The sequence below is a fragment of the Homo sapiens genome, chromosome X, assembly GCF_000001405.40.
Source record: "Homo sapiens chromosome X, GRCh38.p14 Primary Assembly".
NCBI classification, from domain to species: domain Eukaryota; kingdom Metazoa; phylum Chordata; class Mammalia; order Primates; family Hominidae; genus Homo; species Homo sapiens.
The window spans coordinates 31,765,611-31,791,546 of NC_000023.11; the positions used below are offsets into that span (position 1 = coordinate 31,765,611).

The window sequence follows — 25,936 nt, forward strand, 5'->3', positions numbered from 1 at the left end:
AGACTATTAAAATATCTACTTAATGTATACGTTAATTTTATATAATATGTATCACTTTAACATAAGTAACCATATACATAAAAGTGTGGATACAGGTACAGAAACACTTTTACTAATAGTGATGTGTGATCACTGCCTCATCTTATTCACACTTATTCACTATCATACACAAGGAAATCAAATTTAAATCCAAATTATTACTCTAGTGTCTCTTTCTATTCTCCTTTCTTAATAGTCTTCAACCTGACTCTAGAGTGCTTTGTAACATGGGTTTCAAAGACAATTTGTTGAACGAAGGAATGAAAAAAACAACCATATACCTAACATTAACATTAGTTAACATTACCCTAACATTAAAGGTAATAATAAGAAAAATTTACATCATAACACACTGTAACTTCAATTACAGACTTTAAGGACCAAAAGTTATGGTGAAATGGAAAGCCTAAAAGGCAGGTCCTAAACTTTAGGGAACAATAACATTATATAACTTTCAGAAAATTAAAAAAAAACCTTATTACATTGCTTTCCTGTAAGAAAGTTAGAGAAGACCCAGATTCTACGTATTTCTATGAAAACAATAAAAATCACTCCATATAAAGGAGCCCTAACTAGATCCAAGAAAGGAAATTTGTAAATAGAATTCTCTAATTATTTATTTATTTGAGACGGAGTTTCGCTCTTGTTGCCCAGGCTGGAGTGCAATGGTGTGATCTCGGCTCACTGCAACATCTGCCTCCCGGGTTCAAGCGATTCTCCTGCCTCAGCCTCAGGAGTAGCTGGGGCTACAGGCATGCGCCACCACGCCCGGCTAATTTTGTATTTTTAGTAGAGACGGGGTTTCTCCATGTTGGTCAGGCTGGTCTCAAACTCCTGACCTCAGGTGATACACCCGCCTCAGCCTCCCAAAGTGCTGGGATTACAGGCGTGAGCTACCATGCCCGGCCCAGAATTCTCTATTTAAACACAATGGCAAACATAAACTTCCTTATCAGAATCCCACTGGTATTTTATGGAAAACACAGTACAGTGACTTCCATCAGAATTCATGTAAATATCCTGGATCAGTTTTGCTTGATAAGATTTTGACAGAAAAGTTTACAGTGAATTGAATTAAAATATAATAAGATACACATTTCCATTCATAGACTTTGAAATGTGTAGTTTAGTATAGTTTATAAGTTTATGTAGTTTCTTTAAGAAAAAAGCATATGGTATCATTTTCCATAAAAAGGTAATTAGGAGACTTAGAAAATATGATTTTGTGTGTGTGTGTGTGTGTGTGTGTGTGTTTGCAACTCTATGACCTTTTTATTTAAGGGGCGGTTTATTTTTGTTATGACCAGAGAATATAAAATAAGTCACATTACTGACACTGACATATCTTTACATCCTTCGTTGAAGATAATAGTGGATTTGGTCTCATTAGGTAAAGAAAGAAAATTATATAAATATGGATCAGTCATCCAGATGGTCGCAAGCTGTCTACCAGAGACATGTACATTTGTTGGAAGATAATTAAAGCACAAAATTTGTAAATATCTTCAGCCAAACAGATTACAACATTAATTTCTTAATTAATTTCTTAATTGGTATTTCTTAAACAAGTTTGTGCAGAAATGAAATGATGAGATGAGAAGGGCTGGATTGTTGATCGATGAAAGAGAAAAACAGAATAATCAATCTCCTCACCCTAAGATGACTGTCACCCAACCTCGTGAAATCCATTTGATGCCCATGGAAATAAACCATGTTTGCTTTGTTTTGTTATAATTTGGATGGAGAAATGAGATGTGTAAGAAGTTGAGGGGGGTGGCTGAGGAAATAGAAAAGAAGTAAGAAACATTATCTATTCCCAAGAGGTCTGGGGGTCTGGGTTTATGTTAGGACAATTACATTTACTAAGTGACTTTAGATCAATTAACTAAATTGTCTATAACTTCTCTCATTTGTTGAATAAGGGAAACTATTGTAATAGCCACTTTCTGCTGGGTTTGTGACAACAGAATAAAACCAAGAAACATTCTGTTTTGTATTGCTTTTAGTTTAAATAGCCAATGCCACTTTACCCACACATTGTCCCATCAATTCTTCCAGGGCTATACTACACAAGTTGTTTAGTAATCAGATTTTGACTGAATCTATTCACCAAAAGTTATAATCAGAATTATTCTGTAGCTAATTCAAATGCTTTTTGTGTATAGACAGAGTTTTAAAAAATCATAATTTTTAAGTACTTTGACCTTAACAACAACAACAAAAATTAAACTCATTCAAGTAATTATGTCCCATTTAAATATACACTATACCCACTAAAACTGCTCATTCAATTTTTAGATAATGAAATCTCCCAGGTAACAGTGCAATGTGTGGTTAAAAATTAATCTTGAACAATGCTATTATCATCTTGTCCAGATTGGCCAATTTGTCTCAACCCCAATCTGGAAAGGTCTTACTGGAGGATAAAATGCCTTTGCCAACTCAATTCTTTATTCAATACAAGTGCAGTGGTTGAGATTTTGTGGTGAATTATCCTGAACACCTGGCCAAACGGAATTGAAAAAAAAGACTACAATTAACTCAGCACAGGCAATCAGACACCAGTATTATGAAAAATAATATCATATGGCCATCTAAATTCTATTTGTTGATAGCAACACTAGTCTCCACTGCTGGGAACCTCTCTTCATATTTCCCCCTCCACCTTTCTCCCTCCTGTCTCCCACCATCCCTCTTCCATTTCCTCCTTTCCTCACTCCTCTTTTGTCCTCTTTAATATTCCTTTCTTGTCTTTTTTTCTTTCCTTGCTACCTTTCTTTTGTCTTTTCTCTCTCCTTCCCCTTTTTCCTGCTTTCCTTCCTCTCTTCCTTCTTTTTTTCCCTTTCCTCCTCCTTCCTTCCCTTTCTTTCCTCCCTTCTTTGTTCTCTCCTTCCTTTCCTTAAGGGTCAGATTTAGTAATCACTCTCAAAGCAAAACCCAGGACATATTTTTCCCTTCATTTGATAGATTATGTCAAAAAAGAAAACTGCTAATTCTTGTCAAATATTGTTGTTTCAGAGCAATTTTACTTATGTTTATGTGATGAAACAGAAAAAGCATTTTTTAATCAGATTTCTCCGACACTAAGCTATAAAGTACAAATCATCCACTGCTATTGATTCACAATTCTAGAAATTAAACTTTGAACTTCATGTGTGCTTTACTTCTAAAGGCTTAATTTGCATATTTCACATCTCTATTCTTCTAAAAGATAATGGTATATTTTCTACTGTCTAAAATGAAGCAGATTTGCTTAATTTTTTTAAATGGCTGTATTCTTAAAACTTAAAAAAATTAAAGTTGTAATTGTAGCTTCCATTTTTTTCACTGAATATAATTCACTTAGTAAAAATTATTTTTATTTCAAAATGGAAGCAGCTCACCATTTTCTAAAATAATACTTTAATCAAGCAATACATACTAAAGGGGACCATAAGCTTTTCACCAAATATGTTTTCTGAGTTCAAAGTCTAAAGCTAGTGAAAGGTTAGCTTACTTGAATGTCATGTCCTTATACCCCTTCTGTGGCAAATATTTCAATTACTGCACGTCTAAGGTTTGGTCTGAATCTCATAACTAACTTTGCCTTGAGTCATAAAATGTCTCATTGCATTATCTTATCTATCTTCTGGTGCTTTGGAATTATAATCCTCACATTCCAGTCTTTGTTGAATATGAAGTTTCCTTATCACATTGCATTCACATTATCCATCAAGCTATCCACATTTATTGAGAACCAATTACTGTACGTGTCATGGTCAAACAAATTTATATTTCAGGTATTGGTATATGAATGGTCTTTATTTCAGGTCTACACGTTGTGAAGTTGAGTAGATGAACCTGTTGCTTTAGATCAGCTGTATCCAATCTTTTGGCTTCCCTGGGCCACACTGGAAGAAGAATTGTCCTGGGCCACACATAAAATACACTAACACTAATGATAGCTGATGAGCAAAAAAAAGTCACAAAAAGTATCTCATGTTTTAAGAAAGTTTACAAATTTGTGTTGGGCCACATTCAAAGCCATCCTGGGACGCATGTGGCTCACAGGCCATGAGTTGAACAAGCTTGCTTTAGATCATAATAATTACCTCCTACAAATCTCCTTTATTTGCTCTATCCTCCAACTTATTCTACATGTTCTTGACTGAGTTCAGTGGACAATTATTGTTTAGTGGTTGGTCAGAATCATTTCCTTCTTCTATTGTCAATAGAACCCAGTTTCTATTCAGGAGAATTGCCTTTCCCTAATTTTGAGACTTTGGGAGGAGAGGGATTTAAATCAAAGTTTTCTGCTCCCTTCTAGCTCATGTATTAACATGTGACCCAAACAAGGTGAACTGGACTCTCTTTTAAGACTTTAAAATTTGAACAGAGTTACACACAGGATGGAGAAAAGAGAGTATCACAAACAGACTGGAATACTTCTTGCTAGCCACATGCCCAGAAAGGCATGCTCAGATTCTTTTTCCTTTTGTAAGTTTTGTTCCAATGCCTTTGTGCTAATTACAGCACATTTACTTTCTGCCTGATTTAATCAGAGAATGATTTCTGTTGCTTGCATCCAGAGAGCTCTAATTGATAGGCAACTAAACTATATGTGATGATTTTATTTTCCTGTTTACAATCCTTTCAGAGTTGCCACTGCCTGTAGGCCATCATCAAAATTCCTCAGTCTGGCAACAAAGGATTCCCATTATTTAGCCCCAGTCCTCTCTATTCAACCTCATCAATTTCTTCCTCATCATATACCCTTAACTTCAGCCATATGGAATCACAATTCCTCTGATATACTCTGTTTTTTTTCCACCTCAGTGAAAAGCACAGTCTGTTCCCTCTGCCTGGATTGCCCTTCTCGTTTTATCTAGCTAGGTAATTCCAACTCATTCTTTAATGCCTGGCTTAAGTTTTTCCTTCTTCAGGAATATCTCACTAGCATCCATTCTCTCTCCTGGCTTAGTTTTCCCTGAAGAAAGCCCCAACAGCATCACCCACACAATATCAGAGAAGTTGAAAACTATGAGGTTTAAGGGAGAGGACTCTGGAACCAAACTGCCTGAGTTCACATCTCATCATTGTCTTTCTTCCTCGATCTCAGGCAGGTTATTATCCTTACTGTGCCTCTCTATCTACCTCACAGTAATGTTGTAAGCATTAAAGAATTCACGTGAAGTACTTAGATCAATGACTGGCATATCATATGTGTTAGCTATTATCCTAAAATTTATCTCTATCATAGTGTTATTATTTTCTTCCTTCAACCTCTTTTACCTGCACATTCTATGTTGTACAACTTTATGTTTCCCAGGTACTTAGTGGCAGCTCAATAGAAGTTGGTTAAAATAATAAAAATGGATAGGTGTTAGTAAAGTTTTTTTCAGTTTATAAAGCCCTTTTGGAATTTTGCCTAATTTTTCACACATCAAACATTAAAGTTGGGATTGCTTTATTTAAAACTTTACATAAAATTGATATTGATTTCCTGAAATTATAACAAAATCCTCCCCATACTTACTTATCCTTCTTATTTCCCCTCTCACACACATTTGTTTAATGATTATTTAGGGCCATTTTACCGACAATTTGGTGATTGAGGCTATAAAAGCCAAGAACTGACAATGTCTTTAAGAATTATTTTTTAATATAAGAGGAAGAGGCAGGCAAAGCATCCCCCTATTCAGCAAGCAAGAGAAGGGAGATTAGATTTTTTTATAAATATGTAATATATGAACATTACATATCATTATATATAATATGCTATATATACTATTTTAAAAATATTTTTATATATACCATATATAATTTATAAATCCTGTATTTTTGTGTCTCAGAAATGGCTTTTGATTTTTCCCCCTAAATTTTTTTTTTTCTGAGATGGAGTCTCACTCTGTCACTCAGTCTGGAGTGCAATGGTGTGATCTCAGCTCAATGGAACCTCTGGTCCAGGATTCAAGTGATTCTCCTGCCTCAGCCTCCCTAGTAGCTGGGATTATAGGCATGGGCCACCACACCAGCTAATTTTTTTATTTTCAGTAGAGATGGGGTTTGGCCATGTTGACCAGGCTGGTCTCAAACTCCTGACCTCAAGTGATCCACCTGCCTCAGCCTCCCAAAGCGCTGGGAGTGCAGGCGTGAAACATTGCACCTGGCCCTCTACATTAGTTTTTGACCTATATTTAAAGACGATCTCTGTGAGGGGGCATCAAATCAGTAGTCCTTTCTGAAAAGGACACATTTATTTAGAGAACTCTGGAGACTACTGAGCACATCAATGGCTTCCCTAAATGCTGGACTCACAAACCCGTCACAAGGAAGTGTGGACTTTCTCTCCCAATCTATTATCTGGTAACTTCTGCAGGAAGCTATGTCAATGGTAGACTAGGCTACAGAAGCGGAAACAAGCTCTCATTTCCATATAATATTATGATGTGATATACAGTTTGCATAATACAAATGCCATCATTGGTTAGATTTCTAGAGTTCGTGGTGGAACCAAATATAATTACTAACATTTGTTCAATACTAGCAGTAAGCAGTAAGCAAGGCAAAGTGGGAAGCATTTTTCATGTACCAACCAACTTAATCCTGATGACAAACTGCAAGGCAGATAGTACAACTATCCCCATTTTATAGCTAGATAAACTTGGGCTCAGGTAGGCAGAATAACTTACTCAAGGTCACACAGCTTGGGAGCCAAGCTTTGAACCCAGACAATGTAACTTCAAAACCTGGGCTTTAAACATTATAAAATATTGTTTCCTTTGGTAAATAAAAGTCCTGGGAGTATTATATAACTCAATATGGTATTGTAAAAGAACGTACCTCTTGTTTCTGTATGTATCAGTACATAGCAACCATAAAATGCTCAGCATAGTGTCTGACATAGACTACATCTACATCTACATACAAATCACTAAATAGTAACTGCAGTTACAGTTATTACCGCAGCAATAGTATGTATTGCTTGCAGTACATATATTACTTGCTACGTATACTCTCTGCAGTAGCAAGTAATAACACAAGCTTAGGAATCAAATGGACTTGGATTTGAATCCTTGTTCTGCTACTTACTGGGAATTTGACATCTATGAGCCTCAGTTACTTTTTCTGAAAAATGTGGCTATAATTACTTTTTTTAAAGCAGAAGTAAAACAAATTTTAGGTACATATATGTAGTATTTACATATATTTATATACATCCATATCCATAACTATATTGTGAATGTGAATGTGTACTCTGTATGCTCTGTACTCAGAATAGGAAACGAAGATCCAGAGATGGCTTGACCACAATCATCATTTGCAAATGGCACTGAATTCAGGTCTTCTGTATTCAAGCTCAAGGCCTTTAAATGCAGGTTGTTTACTATCAAATTACTTTTATTCCTATGGAATTGGTGAAGTTTATTTTACAAAGAAATTCCCCTTACTCTGTCTGCCTCACTTCTTGTTTTTTCAAAAGGTAGTACTTTAATACCTAAATACCTTCAGCACAACTTTGTATTTCTTTAGAAAGGCTTGAAAGCTGTTACAAGTGAAAAAACTTTAATGTATAACAATTCCAACATTATTTTTCTTAATCATTCACAAATATAAAAGATATATAGTATATTTGATCTAGCTAGGTAAACCATATTTACATCAATGTATTCTAATGTTTCTAGTTGATGTCATAATTTTACCAAATGGATTACACTGAGGCTGAAAAATGCACTATTTGTATTAAAAACATGTTCATTTGAACATGGCATTGCATAAATGCCAACTTTAAGATCTAGGGTAATTTTAAATATCTTATGTTTTGTTACTTTTCTCTTTTTAAGTTATAGCTCTCTTTCAATTATCCTTATCATTGGAGAAGGCAAATTGGCACAGACAACTTAGAAGAGTGGATAATAATCAATTCCCAGACTATTATATTTGATTCTGCAATATGTTGGGCTGCGTAGTGCCAAAACAAACAGTTTAAATGTAAATAGCTCAGTTGAGTGACTTATTTGGTATAAAATAGATTTTTAAAATACCAGGTTGTTTAGTAAATTTAACTGAGACAACTATTCTTGTAAGGTTTCTGCTTTTTTTTTTTTTTTTTTTTGTATATTTCCTTTTTAATGTATGGCTACTTTTGTTATTTGCATTAATTTATATCCTTGATTATACTTAGGCTGAATAGTGAGAGTAATGTGTTTGCTGAGAGAGAAACAGTTGCCTAAGAACTGGTGGGAAATGGTCTAGGAGAGTAAAGTGATTGGTGGAAAATCTTCATTTTAAAGAAAAACTTCTGCCAACTTTTATCATTTTTTCTCATACCTTCTGCTTGATGATCATCTCGTTGATATCCTCAAGGTCACCCACCATCACCCTCTGTGATTTTATAACTTGATCAAGCAGAGAAAGCCAGTCGGTAAGTTCTGTCCAAGCCCGGTTGAAATCTGCCAGAGCAGGTACCTCCAACATCAAGGAAGATGGCATTTCTAGTTTGGAGATGGCAGTTTCCTTAGTAACCACAGGTTGTGTCACCAGAGTAACAGTCTGAGTAGGAGCTAAAATATTTTGGGTTTTTGCAAAAAGGAAAAAAGAAGAAAAAGAAAAATTAGAAACACAAGCTAAAGAGCCAATTTCAATAACAATAAGTCAAATTTAATTGAAGAGTAACAATTTGAGCCAAACTCTTATTCATGACATTATATATCTTTTTCTAACAATGTGGATACTTTGTTTAGCAATACATGGTAGAAAATGAAAAGATTCAACCTTTTCATTAATATACATTTAACAATTTTTTAAAAAACGATTTTGCTCATTCTCATGCCTGGACAAGTAACTTAAGTTAAATAAGCCTTCTCAGTAACAATCATATACATTGTGGAAGTGGTAAAGAAAACAAAAGTTTTCAGACCTTGCCAGGGAAATAAATTTTACTTATTTTTTTTTTATTCAAGAAAAAACAAAGGCAAAACAAGATGGGATAAGATCTTCTTTCTGATTTAAAATTCCCTTGAATAGGAAGTAAATTAATTTGAAGCTGGACCCTAGGGAAATCAAAGCCAATGAAACGTTCTTGTCTTAGCTCTGTATTTTATACTGGGAGCAGTTTATCATATTTTTTTCTTTTTATTTCAGATTGTTAGTAAACTGGCCAGCAGTGAAGAAAAACCAAGATACAATATTTTCTTAAAAATGCGAGTTAGTAGTTTTTCTATTTAGACATGAAATACTGTTTCAAAGTCATTAAATAAATCTTAATATGAATAGTGTTGGACACTGTAGAGTAAGTCAGCCTATGGTAATGGTTAAGATGCATAGTACTAGAATTAAAATGTCTGGTAGACAATCCTGTTCTCTGCCCTAGGAACTCTGGGACCTTGGTAAAGCCACATAACCTCTCTAAGTTTCAGTTCTAACATTTGTTCAGTACTAGCAATAAGCAGTAAGCAAGGCAAAGTGGGAAGCATTTTTCATGTATTTACCTTAAAAGAGGAATAATAACAGGGTAAATGTCATAAGGGCAGTTGTGTAGATTCAGTGAGTAGTACAAGCAATACACGTATGACAATGCCAGAAAGAGCAGCATAATCATCATCATCACAATAATATTATTACAGCGCCTGACACTATAGTAGGTGATCAATAGTGTTAGGTATTACTGTTTTTATAAACGCCTGGCTAGTAAGAAACACAGTGATGAACAACTGTGGTGAGAAACTGGAGATAAGGCCCCAAAATGTGAAATACTTGGGGAGTAGTCAGTCAAAAGTCCGTGTGTGGCCCTATATTGATTGAAGAGGGCTGAACTTGCTGGTGTGAATTGATACTAAATACCAACACACAGCTGGGTTATCAGAGGTGAGTGGTGAGGGGAAGGAATGCCTAATCAAGTTTATAGACAACAGACTCAAGAGCATAATATAACCAGAAGATTGGTGGCAAAATTATTGGACTATGTAGTTTGGAATGAAAGGTTTCAAGGAAAGCTGCAAAAGACATCTCAACAGGAGACTCACACTGGACAACCAGTGAACGATTCTAAGAATATTAAAAAAAAATGAGACATTGAATTTTCATTCTGAGGTAGCCAATCATTAATTTTTATGGCTATGTAACTGTGCTTTTAAGGTTGTCTCCTCATTAGAGAAGAAGATGAGTAGAATGGAAGAATGTTTCTTGTCTCTCAAGCTTCTCAGGGACACCAAGAGTTTTCTATGAATGAAGGAACTAATTTTGATCAATGCAGACAGAAAAAAATAGTGTTTTAATTGTCAGAGAGAATAAAAAAATTTGTGTCACGAAACAATGATTGAAAGGCAGTAACAGTGAGGCAATAAAGAAAAAGTTTTGTTTCTCAAAGCTATCTGACTACTCTGAGGCTCTTTCTAGAAAGAATTAAATGTAATGTAAAGAAGAAATAGCATTTTGTGTCACAGTCCAGGAGAAGAAATCATGGAAGCAAAAAGATCTAGAAATCTTAAAAGGGATTCCAGGAAAGGAGCTAAATATCCAGAGAGGATGCATGTGTGAGGATGAAAAGAGAGCTAAATTAAAATATCACTGTAGGAACTAACTGCAGAACACCAGGCTGACTGGCAAATGTGGATGGAGTGTTCCTAAAATAGATACACAAGGTATACTGAGGCAATATACAGCAATTTAGGAGGATTTCAAGCTTATGGGAAGTGTCAGAAAATGCTTTTTTAAAAAGTGACTTATTGAAAATTTGACCCTCAAATAAGAGCAGAGACAAGAGATTTTTTTTTTTTCTCCAGACTTACTTCTGACCATGAAAGAAGTACCTAATGAGGTGGAAATGATCATGTCACACTAAATTTCAATAAAGTGAAGGATGAGGAACTAGAGAATTATCAGACTTCAACAAGCAGACCACTGTTTCCTGAAAAGCACGTTTGGAAAAAGACAGAAAGGAAGAAGGAAAGAAGAAAGTCAGGGAGGGAGGGAGGGAGGAAGGAGGGAGGGAGGGAGGGAGGGAATCTATTGAAAAGCAAGGCAAGACAAGGCAGGAAGGCAGGAAGGAAGGAAGTCAGGAAGCCAGGCAGTAAGGGAAGGAAGGAGGAAGGAATCTATTGGAAGTCTATTGAAAAGCAAGGCCAGGGCCTGAGACTCAAAAAGAGAGAATGGTTCATGATGACTAAATATGCCATTGGGATGATAAATTAGCTGAAGCATATTCAGAGGATGATGGAGAGGTCTAGCAATGCGGCCATCCCTGCGCCAGTCATGGGCAGATAATCTCATCTATAGACCCGTCAGGCCAGTATTTCTGGTCTTCTCTTCTCCAGCATGCACCACCTGAAGAACATCTATCTGTACACTGCTGGGAAAGGGAGGGGAAACCTTATCAGACTTTCTCACTGCTCTATCTCTTGCATCTTGCACATGTCCTGGAGTATAGGAGGTGCTCAATTGATTCCCTTTGAATCTAAAGAAAAGTCAATGTGCAGTAAGCTCTTTAGTGAACTTAGAGGTCTTCTACATACAATGAGTACTAAAATTTAACAGCCACCCATTAGAATGGAAGAATGGAGGCTAGAACACAAAACATGCCTAGGTTTTTACTAGTTAGGTGATTTTAGCTATTTTCACGAGAAGATAATGGAGGAAGACCCACTGCTTGGAGCAGACAATGAAAGATCAAATATTAAAGAGAGAAAATACAGCCAGTCAATTTATTTGCCCCCAACCCCACACACATACATTTTTTTTCCTATCGAAGGGAGAAAAGCAGGAAATAGCTCTGAATCAGAAAGCAGGGTGTAGAATATTTAGGCTTTCTAGGACCAGATTGTTGTATTTGAATCCTTGCTCTATAATTTTTTTTTTTTTTAGCTGTGTAACTATAGTCAGATGACTTAACCTCTCTGAATCTCCATTTACTCCTCTGTAAAGTGGCGATTATAATAGTACTTCCTTCATAGACAACTGGCCTTACTTTTTCCTAAATAGACAATCTTGGAAAAGTAATGTTCACTGACATTGGAGGCATCTTGAGGTAAGGAATTATACTATGCCTGCTACAATGAACATCTTGACCCTCAAAAGTTTTCACCTGTGTAACTATGAAAACAGTACCAATCTAATGGAATTGTGTTACGGATTTTATGACATCATACATGTAAGTCACCTCCTAGGATTGTTCTGACTGTAAGTACACTATGTGGATTTTTTTCTTCCTCTTTTTCCTGCATTTCTCACACAATGGTTATTGGCTCCTCATGTTCTACATTCGTATGGGATTTTATGCTCTGTACTCTGAACCAGATTTGACCCTCCAGACTTACCTCTCTCCATTCTTTCCAGGCTCCTCCACACCCATGTCTATTGTGCATTCTCTCATGAGCACAGGCCATTTCAAACCTGTGTCCTTTCATACGCTTTCTATACTTCTTGAAAACTTTTTCTCTCCTGTTTCCAGACAAAAATCTCATTTTCTCTTTAAATGTCAACTCTAGATTTCTGTGTTTTGGGGAGGACCAGAATAAGAAGTGTGTAACTAAAATATCTCCATGAGGAACAGAATTACACCTTTCTTGTGGGTCCTAAACACTTTTTAGTCTTTAACGTTTTCTTACTTAAATCTAGTTATCACTAGGAAGGACAAAATCTTGCACCACTATTAGGTTTTGGAGGATTTTGAAAGTGTCTAGAGGATAGCTGATAGTAGTTGAGAGTTGGATTCTAAAGTCAGAAACTTTGGGTCTCAAGGAATATACTTTAAAACATAAAGAAGCAAGAGGCTAATCTTCATCGACCTCTCACATTAGAGCCATTTCTGTTCAGAAAAACATTACTTAAAATATTTTATGTTTTCTAAAAAGACTTGCCTCTGGATTCAGGCATGTATATATTTTTTTCATTTTTTAATCAAAGTGTTTCAAAGGACAGAAGTTTTGAAGTCCTGAAATTTTTTTTTTTTTTTTTTTTTTTTGAGACAGAGTGTTGCTCTGTTGCCAGGCTGGAGTGCAGTGGCGTGATCTCAGCTCACTGCAATCTCTGCCTCGCGGGTTCAAGCGATTCCCCTGCCTCAGCCTCCTGAGTATCTGGGACTACAGGCATTTGCCACCATGCCCAACTAATTTTTTGTACTTTAGTGGAGACGGGGTTTCACCATGTTGGCCAGGATGGTCTCGATCTCCTGACCTCGTGATCTGCCTGCCTCGGCCTCCCAAAGTGCTGGGATTACAGGCATGAGCCACCATGCCCGGCCTATTTATCTTATTTTATTGTATATATCACATTGATTCTTACTGCACTTTCAGATGCGTTTACCTTTATCTAACACATATGCGGTTCTTTCTTTTCCACCATGTCATAGTACTAGAAATATATGCAAATCACCTTTTTCAGTGAAGTGTAGGCTGGTCAGATTTGTTAGTGGTTTTGTACAGTCTGAGCAACCTGTTCACAGTTCTAAGGGTCAGGCAGGGTCGTATTGTTGTGCCAAGGATATTTCCTGTTAAGTCAATATTTTAAAAGACTGAAAGAGGATTTGTTTTGCTAAGAGTGCCTGAATCCATAATCTAGAACGAACGGGTAAAGAGTTAGGATATATAAATTATTACATAGAATTTTCAATGATGTTCTGGGCTGGGTCTCCTGTTGTCATCCCTAAGGAGCATGGGAAATGGCTTCCCCTCCAGCTGGCGGAAATCCTTTCCCGTGTACCCTATTTAATCTTAACCCCAAGTCTGTTCATGCCTGGGCATTCACCCCGTTTCTTATGCCCCTATCTTGGGTTACAAGAAGCTGGCTCTGGTATTAGCTGGTTCAGATCTCAGCCTCTCTAACCACCTCAGAGACTAAGGGTATTCTTCTCAAGTCCATTGGAGGAATTGTCTTTTCCTGCCTAGGGTCCTTACTGAAAATAGTCTTTCTGATGTTATGCTATTAAAGGTTCCTCCAGTAACAGATTTGGGTGGGTTTTGTTTGTTTGTTTTTTGCTCAATCACCTTATGCCAGAACCAGATGTATTACAATGTACAAAATTAAACTGTATATCTAGGTAGACAGATAGATACACACATTGTGTGTGTGTGTGTGTGTGTGTGTGTGTGTGTAAAGAGAGACAGACAGAGACAGAGCAAGAGAGAGAGAGGGCATCTGAATAGTCTGAGGACATACTATGTAGCATAATACCTTTCTCATGCATTCATTAGAAAATTAAAATGACTCTACTAAAATTGTGGTTTTCCCTCCATAGTTAAGCAGACAGAAAATCAAGCTCAAAATAGTTGAAATGAATTGAGTTTGGCACACCAGAATGGTAGCATGAATAACAGTAGGTGTAATATACTATTGCAAACCACAGCTTTGCTCTGAGTATTTTGTTAATTAAAAGGTGTTGGCTTTAGGAAGGAACTCTTATTTTTTTCAAGTGTTTGAAGAACACTTCTCTAGTCTGAAAATTTAATTGGTTTCAGGGGTACATGATTAGTCAGACTAACAGCTTTACTTAGAGCTTTAAAGGAGCTACTAAATCTTTTAAAACACACACACAATGTGTTTGGCATATTTCCTTTGAAGTATTCACACATGGTTTTCCTGTAATTCACAGGTCTCCTTTGGTTGATAAGAAAGCAAGAAGCACATACTCTATTTCTAGCTTTGTTGAATGAATGTGGGTAACTTTTTTTGTTTGCTTCACTTTTATATTTGAAAAATCACTCAACTTACAAAATAAGTTATTGGGCTCACATTAACAATTCTATGAGAGAATATCTAAAAAGTGCTGTTAGATATTCCCTTCCTCCTTATCATTCCATGTCAACAGGAGAGCAATGTTATATGTGATCAAATTGCATTACTATTTAATACTATGGGGTATAAGAAAGATTGTTAGCGACTTCCATCTCACTAGTAGATAAAATAACTCTCCTCCATGTAAGCAACATTGGAGAATATTTTCTTTTTGAATATTTGAAAGGATGGCATTTGGATTAATGAATTCCGTAAGAATTCAAGAGAACTTCTGAAGAAAATTTGAAATCATGTCTAGATTCTAAGAAAGACAATCTATTGTGTAGGTAAGGAAGAATTTCATGTCTTCCCTCTAAATATTTACAGTCTGCACATACAAGTTGGAAAATTAGAAACAAACACTATGAACACATAAACACTTATTTTTGTCTGCTTTCTTTTCTGTCACTCTAAAGAGTAAATAAAATATATGACACACCTAACATCAATAATTCTCATTTTAGAAAAATAAATGCTTGTACTCTACATAGGCAAGGCCGGAGTACTGGAACTCAAGGATTCATGATAACCATTTGTATTTCTGGATTTAAGAAAAAAAAATGTTAAGTTTGGGAGCTATGGATTTTTAAAGCTTAATGGTGCTATTTGCTTACATTTTAATAGATTCTTTCTTGCTATTAAAAATATAATCCAAATAAATATTTGCTACTACTTACAAGTAAGATAATTGCCACCAACACTGCCATCACCCCCATCATTTACTCAGTGATTCTTATGTGCTAGGCAAGGTTCTTCATAAACCCTCTTTTATTTCACCTTTACCAAACCATCTTCAGGGTAGATGTTATCATCCCCCTTTTACCAAGGTAACGAAACTTGTTCAGGATCTCACATTAACAAGTGATGTTTCCAAGACAATGTGCTTAACCACTGCACATATTTCTAAGAATCATAGGACATCAGGTATCTTTCTTACATGTCTCATTCAATATGCAAGAATTATTAATCACTCAAATACTTCTAAGAGCTATAGCTTATAATATATGGTATCCATGAAATATATCTAATATCCATTTTAATTTGGGAGAGAAGATCATTTGATATAGCTATAAAAATATGGATTGTAACAATCAAGCGCATCTGGCATCCACTCACAACTTAAATATTACCCTTGAGAAATATCTCCAACCTGACTTTAAACATATCCTTCCTTCACTAACTTGAATAGAGAAATAATCATTGCCTTTTCCTGTTTTAGTTGGCATCATCTAAGTGCCCTTCTATAACTAACATTATATGAATTCATCTACATGCGCTCAGTGAAAAGCAGGGTTTCTCAATCTCAGCACTATTGACATTTTTGTCCCAGATAATTTTTTGTCGTGAGTGGCTGTCCTGTGCATTGTAGGATCAGAATTGCTTGTCAGTATCTCTGGCCAGAGCTCCCTCCTAGATGTACAACCAAAAATGTCTCCTGACATTACCAAATGTCTCCTGAGGAAAGAAAAATTGCTTATGGTTGAGCATGTCTCAATTAAAAGGATTTTCCATCTCTCCCTACCCACCCACCTCTCAAATAGCTGCTTAGAATTTGTGCTGGAAATCATTTATGCCTATCCAATTTTTTTTTTCTCATTCCTCAGAAGTAGAAATTAAGAGAAATTGTTAAGGGCTTCTCTTTCCAACATGATATTGGGCAGGCACTGAAGTATCCATAAGTAAACCACAAACTTATGGCTGCCAAGGAATAATAAATAATATTACACAGGAACTGTCTTAGTGACAAAAATGACAACATCTCTGCTGGAGAGTAAATGTCCACAGATTCTCCTCTTGCATCTACACTTTTGTCAAGAGATATTCCAGATTCTCCCATTAAGAGCCATAGTCTGTTTCTCCACTCCTTGAATATGGATTGGTCAAGTCACTTGTTTCGGCTAATGAGGTATCAGCAAACATGACATAAGCAGAGGCTTAACAATGCTTGGGTGTTGGGCTATGCTTGGAACTCTTCCACCGCTATGGAACTATGCTAGCCTGATGAATAATTACAGGCAAGTGATCCTGTCACCCACACCGTCTCAACTTATAACCAAAAAGTTATACCAGACATATGAATGCCACATGTGGTCATCAACTACCAGCTGACCACGAGTGCATGAATGAGCACAGCTGAGTCTAGCAAAAGAATCGCCTCGATGAACCAAGCCCCAAGCAGAATCAAGAATCATGAGCTAAAAAAAAAAAATGATTCTTATTTTAAGTCTCTACATTTGGGGTAGCTTGTTACACAGCAATAGATAGCTGACACAGCATCCATTTTTACCTGTTAAACACTTGTACGCAAAACAGGATTTAAAATTCCCTTCCCATTACCACAGAAATTAAAAGAAAAATGCTTATCCAGCAGAGAGAACACAGCTGGAAAAGACGGAGTCTTTAAGTTAAAATGTGGAATGGAATTCCACAGAGAATGGAAGATTCACATAGTCACTCTATGAGGTCAATAAATCAGGCAGCCAGCATTTGACAGGATATTTGAAGAAAGTAACACTTTTAGCAGAAACTCACTATTAATGCACTAAGACCTTTGTATATGAAAAAAGTAGAGTATGTAATAATAAGAGCCAAGAAGTAGGCAGCCCAGTGCAGAAGACAAGGGAAGAAAAAGCCAGATGAAACCATAATAAAGACCACGCTATTGATGAAGGGTGGTCATCAATTGCAAAACTGATATCAGAATAAAATCCATATAACCATTTGAGTATAACCAGCTAGAGAACATTGTGTAGTTCTTATTACAGAAAATACACTGCTATTCTACCAAAATTCTGAGCACCTTAAAAAACTCCTGAATTAAATAATTTATTCTGATTTGGGTTTGTTTATTCAATTTTTTAAAATAGAGTTCCTCCTACCTGAATGTTAGAGACAAGACTCTGCAGTGAAAACTAAGCAAAATGAGGTAAGCAGTGTTTTCTACAGAATTCAGTCTAAATCTCTTATTTGTTTGGGAGAGCTACGTTTTCACCTTAAGCAGAAAAATAATTAGTGATGTGTTTTGAAAGTTGTTATATAATGAATAAGATCCTCTACCATGTGTCAGGCCCTCACAAGCCTCATCCACCAGAGGAGATGATAAGCTATTTGAGATAAGTATCAGAATCATCTTTTCCTTCCTCACAAGACCAAAGGTCTGAAAAATAACAGGGTCTCAATCAAAATTTGTTGTTGTTTTCACAATTAGAATGAGGTGCAAGTTGCAATGTACTAAGCAGAGTCCTTAAGTGTAATCTCGTTCTCTCTCTAAATATATATATGCATATGTATATATAGTCTAAATATATATATTTAGAGAGAGACAGAGAAGTTATATAAATTAATATAACAGAGTTATGTAACTGTGATTTACAGTTTCCTCAGAGTTTCAATCTAGAACTTCATCAGTGAGAAAAAAGAGGAACCATTAGTGCAATGTAAATGCGACAATATTAAATAGTCTTAAAATGTAGATTCTTTTGGTTCAAATCAATTATAATATATTTGCACAAGATCTGGACAGCATAAAAATGCCTTTTTAGTCATTTTCTGCATTGGTTCCTCATCATACCACTCTGGTGTGGATAGGGAAAACATGATTACTATCAATTTATAGAACGGGAAACTAAATTCAGATAAATTAAAATACTTCTTCAAGATCAACATTTAGTAAATTAGATGAAAGGTTCTGAGAAATCTGTATTTTAAGAAGAAAGGCTCTGAGGTGAGTAATTAATAAGGAATTCACCAAAAACAATTAACCTGATTTTAAAATGGGCAAGGATTTAAATAGACATTTCTCCAAAGAAAATATATACACAGCCAACAAGCATCTGAAAACATACTCAACATCGTCAATCATCGGGGAAATGCAAATGAAGAACGAAAACCACAATGAGATATTACCTCACAACCATGAGGATGACCACGATCATAAACAGAAAATAACATGTGCTGGCAAGGATGTGGAGAAACTGAAACACTTCTGCATTGTTGGTGGGAATGTGAAAAGGTGTAGCCACTATGGAAAACCGTATGGAAGTTCCTCAAAACATAAAAATAGAATTATCATATAATCCAGTCCTCAAAAAATAAAAATAGAATTATCATATAATCCAGCAATCCCATTTCTGGGTGTACGGTTAGTCCCCAACTTACTAAGGTCTAACTTGTAATTTTTGGACTTTACAATGGTGTGAAAGCGATATGCATTCATTAAGAAACCATACTTCAAATTTTGAATTTTGATCTTTTCTAGGGCTAGTAAATATGCAGTATGATACTCTCTTCTGACATATTGGGTTGCAGCATGATATTTATCATGAGGATAAATAATTGATACTCTACTATGTACTGTGTTGCAAGATGATTTTGCCCAGATGTACTGTAATCTACATGTTCTGATAACATTTAAAGTATGCTAGACTAAGCAATGATGTTTGGTAGCTTAGGCATATTAAATTAATTTTTGACATGATATTTTCAACTTATGATGGGCTGATTGGGATGTAATCCCAGTGTAAATCAATGAGCATCTGTATATCCAAAAGAATTAAAAACAGGATCTTAAAGAGATATTTGCACACTCATATTAACTGCGGCATAATTCACAATAGCCAAAAATTGAAGTAACTAAAATGTCCATTGATTGATAAACGGATTAAAAAATGTGGTATAGGACACAACGGAATATTATTACTCGGCCACAAAAAAAGAAGGAAATCCTTTCCTATGCTACAACATGGGTGTACCTTGAAGACATTATGCTAAGTGAAATAAGCCAGTCATAAAATGACAAATACTGCATGCTTCCTTTTATATGATGTATCTAAAGTAGTTAAACTCTTTAGAGACAGAAAGTAGAGTGGTCATATTGCCAGTGCTGGGGTACAGGGAGCAATGGGAGCTCTTCAGTGGGTTTGGAGTTTCGGATTTGAGAGATGAAAACATTCTAGAGATCTGTTGAATAACAATGTATGTATAGTTAACACTACTGGTTTGTACACATAAAACAGTTAAGCTGGCAAAGTTTGTATTATGTGGGTTTTGTTTTTCAACCACATTTTTTAAATTATACTTTAAGTTCTGGGATACATGTGCAGAATGTACAGGTTTGCTACGTAGGTATACACGTGCCATGGTGGTTTGCTGTACCCATCAACCCTTCATCTACATTAGGTATTTCTCCTAACGTTATCCCTCCCTCTGCCCCCCAATCCCCCAACTGGTGTGTGATGTTCCCCTCCCCCATCTCCATGTGTTCTCATCGTTCAACTCCCACTTATGAGTGAGAACATGCGGTGTTTGGTTTTCTGTTCCTGTGTTAGTTTGCTGAGAATGATGGTTTCCAGCTTCATCCATGTCCTTACAAAGGACACGAACGCATCCTTTTTTATGGCTGCATAGTATTCTATGGTGTATATGTGCCACATTTTCTGTATCCAGTCTATTATTGATGGACATTTGGGTTGGTTCCAAGTCTTTGCTATTGTAAACAGTGCTGCAACAAACGTACGTGTGCATGTGTCTTTACAGTAGAATGATTTATAATCCTTTGGGTATATACCCAGTAATGGGATGGCTGAGTTAAATGGTATTTCTGGTTGTAGATCCTTGAGGAATCGCCACACGGTCTTCCACAATGGTTGAAGTAATTCACACTCCCACCAACAGTGTAAAAGCGTTCCTATTTCTCCACATCCTCTCCAGCATCTGTTGTTTCCTGACTTTTTAATGATCGCCTTTCTAACTGATGTGAGATGGTATCTCATTGCGGTTTTGATTTGCATTTCTCTAATGACCAGTGATGATGAGCTTTTTTTCATGTGTCTTTTGGCCACATAAATGTCTTCTTTTGAGAAGAGTCTGTTTATATCCTTCCCCCACTTTTTGATGGGGTTGTTTGTTTTTTTCTTGTAAATTTGATTAAACCACATTTTATTTTAAAAGGGAATTCATAGACCAGGTGAATTGTGGACTTTTTAAAATTCCCTTCTGAGTTAAGGAGATTTAAAAGAGATTTTTTTGAGTACTATAATAAATATCATCCTGTAAATTCCAATGGTTCTGATATATTAAGGCCCAGTGGAAAATAATCGATTTATTTTATGTCCTCACTACTCCTACTTGCATCCTCATTGCAATATTTGTGGGGTAAGCAGAATATGCCAGTGCCTCTCTGTAGTGGATACTGTAATGCTTCATCAAGATCCTCTTCTGGAGTCGATGCACCCACACTACCAATATTATTCCTAGTATTTGTGGTGTGGTTGCATTGACTCCAGAATAATAATATCTACAAAAGGATCACAGCTGCATTTCTCCCTGGTGCCTGCTCTTGGCTAGTGCAAAGATACAAAAGTCTCGCCCATTTGCCTCAATTTGGTAGAACTCTGAAAGACCATCCCAGCTCCAGTGTCCCTGTCACATGGGCTGAAGCCTCAGTAGCAACTGCAGTGTGGATGAGCTTTTCTCTCTGCCCAATACTGCCTCCTTCACTTCCTTATAAATAGCAACAATACTTCTCAAAATACTTTCTGTGTGCAACTTTTTGTCTCAGAGACTGTTGCCAAGGAATCTCATCTCTGACACCGTATCTCTGGTCTATTTACGTAATAGTTTGTTTTTAATACATAGAAGTAATATGATTTTTTCAGGCATTCGATAGTAGAATATTTTTTAAAGTTAATTATAAGCCAGGCGCTGTGGCTCATGCCTGTAATACCAGCACTTTGGGAGGCTGAGGTGGTAGAACACCTGAGGTCCGGAGTTCAAGGCCAGCCTGATCATTATGGTGAAACCCTGTCTCTACTAAAAGTACAAAATTAGCCAGGCGTGGTGGTGCATGGCTGTAATCCCAGCTACTTGGGAGGCTGAGGCAGGAGAATCACTTGAAACTAAGAGGTGGAGGTTGCAGTGAGCTGAGATCATGCCATTGCACTCCAGCCTGGGAGACAAAGCAAGAATCATTCTCTAAATAAATAAATAAAAAGTTAATTATTTATTGGTATCACATGTTATATAATTCAATTGAATGCTCTAAAAAATGACAAAAAGTATGCAGAGGATTGTTGGCATATTTATTGTTTAAGGGCTTATAAAGTAGTTTTACACTCCTTGGGTATATTTGAGTTTCAATGTATCATCAGAGTTGCTGTTTCTTATGTGAAATATGCACACTTCCTGTAACTAAAAGACCCATGAGCTTGACAAATTCAACTGCTGAAGTCTTGAACTCCGTCTTCATAATGACCTTGGAAATGTAACTGCTATCTTAAGTTGGTTTGAAGTGACTGTATTGAACTAAACTTGAGTTTTAACGTTCTGGGTCAGTAAACATGTTATGAATTGCAGGTATGGAAAACACACTAACTGAAATAGTGGAACTAGCTACATCAAAATCAATTTATGTTTTTATTTAACTTGTAGAAAACCATACTATGCCCAGAAGTGCGACAACTACCAACCATACAAAAGAGATCAAAATCAAGGGGAGAAAACAGGTAACACTTACGTAGGAAAAATTGCTTGTTAGAAGCACAACAAATAAAAATTTGGTGTTTGTTTCTTTAAGACATCCCTGCCAAACCATCTCAAATTCTTTTTGAACGTATGAAAGGTAATCATAAATAAAACATGGTTTCAGTGGTTTTAAATTATGCTATTGAAATAACAATGTTCCTCAGAGCATTAGCATGACAGTTTTGATGCACATACTTCCTATTGTCTTGGACTTGAATCTCATTGTCTTAATCCTTTTGATGAATGGGTTTAAAATTAAGAGTGTAAAGAGTGTATGGAAAAGCTGTGAGCCCACAGTAAATGGTTTCTGAAGTAGAAACATATCCAACTCTGTTTATTCAGAAAGATCTGTGAAGCTGTATTATTACAGTTGCTTCATTATGAACTTATTTTTGCTGCTTACAAAGGGGAAATCCCATCAGATCAGGGCTAAGATAATTCCTTTTTAAACAATCAGTAAATCATATTTAAACCTTGTTTACACTAGTACTTTTTCCATGATGGCGTTGTTTTACATAAAATACATGCTTTCAATCTTGTTAAATTTGTTAGGACTCATTTTGTGGCCTAACATATGATCTACCCTGAAGAATTGTTTCTTGTGCACTTGATAAGAATGTATATTCTCCTGCTGTTAGATGAGATGTACTGTATATGTCTGCTAGGTCTATTTGATCTAAAGCATAAAGTCCAATGCATTCTTATTGATTTTTTAATGTGGATTTTCTGTCTATTGTTGAATTTGGGGTAGAAGTCCCCTACTATTATTGTACTGTAGTTTGTCTCTTTCTTTTTATCACTTTATATTTGCTTTATATATTTAGGTACTCCAATGTTGGGTGCATATATATTTACAATTGTTATACCTTCTTGATGAATTGATCCTTTTATCATTATTTAATGACCTTCTTTGTGTCTTTTTAGTTTTTGATTTTTAAAGCCTATTTTGTCTAATAGAAGTATGGCTATCCCCATTCTCTTTTGGTTTCCATTTGCATGGAAACCAAAATATCTTTTTCTATCTCTTCTATTTCAGTCAACATGTGTCCTAAAAGATGACGTGAGTCTCTTATGGGCAGCATGTAGTTGAGTCTTGTTGTTTTAATCCATTTGGCCACTCTATCTTTAGACTGGTGAATTTAATCCATTTACATTCAAAGTAAATATTGATAGGTAGGAATTTACTACTGCCATTTAAAAAGTTGTTTTCTAATTGTTTTGTAGATCCTTTGTTCTATATGCCTTTTTTTGTTGTCTTCTTTTATGGTTTGACTGTTTTGCTCAGTAGTATACTTTGATTCCTTACTTTTTACCTTTTGTATATCTACTATAGGTTTTTGCTTTTGCTACTATAGGTTTTTGCTTTTCTTTACATCTTACGTAAGGGTTTTTTAAGCTGGTAATAACTTAACTTTGATTGCATACAAAACTCTACACGCTTACTTCCCTAATCCACATTTTGTAATTTCAATGTCACAACCTATATCTTCTTTATAATTTGTCTCTTTTAACCAATTATTGTAGCTATAAGCACATTGGGATGTGAGAGTTCTTTTTAGTAGAGATCACACAAATTTTGCATTTTAAAATGTTACTTGAAAATAAAATTTTCAATGAAGTTATATTTAAGATTCAATTATTCCAAGGTAAAGTTAATTACAAAGTCCAGAATGGAAAATCATGCTATTTTTTTCATTAGTAGAAAAATAATAATCCTTAAAAATGATGTTTCTTTTTTCCTAAGATATCTAGATAAGAACTAAAAGTAAAATGTATTTCCTCTACTGTAAAATTACAATCTATATTAATCCATTATTTTAAAACAAAAAGATACGAAGGGAGAAAATTTTTATCAAGTTATGTTACAAAATCTCTAGCTTATTGCATGAAATTAAACCACATAAAAGAAATAATAAACCTAACTGAAACAACATTAACTCCTATCTAGGGTTTATCAAACTACAGAAAACAGAAAGGAAAGGAATTATACATCTTGAGAAACATAACTACTAAATACTGGTGGAAACTATACATGTGCATAGTTTTGAATTGGTAAAATTCTTCATTTTTGCCCTGTAAATGGTGGAAAGAATGAAAAAAGTCACTAAAGCTCTGTTTCCTACTTTTGTACTAATTCAAAGGCATGATTATGCTATACTTAATAACTATTTCTACTTAAAAATTGTTAATCATTGTGATTTTAACACCTAATGTATATATTTTCTGTGGAATACAAGAACGTGAACAGAGGCAAAGAGCTAGGTAGAAAGACCAATTTCCAAAGAGAAAGTAGGGTTAGTTTACTACTGGGGGCCTCACATTCCCATTCAATCTGACGTAAAAGTGGAATTGAAGGGCATATGGGCTGAAGTTATCAGAGACTGTATTGCTAAAATGGATAATCTTCCCCTATTGACAATGGGGGCCTGTGGCTACCAAAATTAGGTGACTTGAACAGATAAAACCATAACAAGTTCGGATCCTTTCATGCATCTATTTTCAAAAATGATATTTTGGTGATTAGTGAATCAGATTTATTATTATGATAAAAATGAGTAAGTAAATTATTTATAAAAACGTAAGCTATCAAAAACTTAGTTTTCAGTGCCATGAAAATATAGGTTATAGTAACTTGTGAAGATCTTCAGGAAGGTTAATTTATACTGTACATTCTAAACCATAGATGCTACATCTGGTAATATTAAGTTGGGAAGGGATTTATCTGGGAAAACACCATCATTTATCAATTAAACCAAGGCAGAAAAGGTTGAATAGTTTGCCCAAAACCCCCAAACCATAGCCAACAAGAGATCAAATGAGGACTAGATCCCAGGTTTATTAATTCCCAATCCAGTGATCTTTTAACAGTGCCTGGTTTACAATATCATGAGCATGCTTCTGAAATATTAAAAATGTTACGTCTCTATATAATAACTTTATATCTAGCATGCGTAGATTGAGAAAAATAGTGACAAAATCAACTTATTCTGAATTCAGTAATATTGTAATATAATTTTGCATTTATTAATTGCAGTAGCATCTACATCACTTAAAAAATGTCTACTACATGTTTGTGGGTAATGCATCACTCCTTTGATTCACAGACAACACTTGAGGTGGTTGTGGATTTGAGAATTTCTTTCAATGGTCCTGGGAAATTTTAGCTATATCCAGCACACAGGTTGAGAACTTCTATAATGTTGGTCTCTGCCTTGCAACATTACTCTTAACCAAATATCTTTAAAAGTCGTACTCTTTACTCTTAGAGTTGATTTCAGTTTCATTGTTGCCAAACAATGATATCTCAATCATTTGACAATGGGTTGTGGCATAGATATAAAATATCCAAATTGTCTAAATATTTTTATATTTTTTTATAAATTAGAACCAACTAAAGGTTGTCAATATAAGAGTACTCTCGCATTCCAAAGTGCTTTTCTGAGTGAGAGAGGGTGCACAGTCAGAACTAGTGTGCTTGAATTTTGCTATTTAACTTCATTCACCTTTACATATCTGTAGCCCCTGACATGAATATCTATCTTCAGGCAAGTGAGTGAATATTGCCAACATCTGTGATGATACTGGTAGGATAGGGATGGGGGCAAAACAAAGGTTGAAAAATCCTATA

At 35.5% G+C, this 25,936-nt stretch overlaps 1 protein-coding gene across 20 annotated transcripts in view; it reads right to left on the minus strand.

The window, feature by feature from the left end:
* Positions 1-25,936, minus strand: part of DMD (dystrophin) — a 2,220,167-nt gene that overhangs the window by 646,389 nt on the left and 1,547,842 nt on the right. For all 20 annotated transcript variants that reach the window (XM_006724469.4, NM_000109.4, XM_011545467.2 and 17 more), the window contains 1 exon segment: positions 8,350-8,582. In XM_006724469.4, coding sequence (XP_006724532.1) covers positions 8,350-8,582 — 233 coding nt within the window.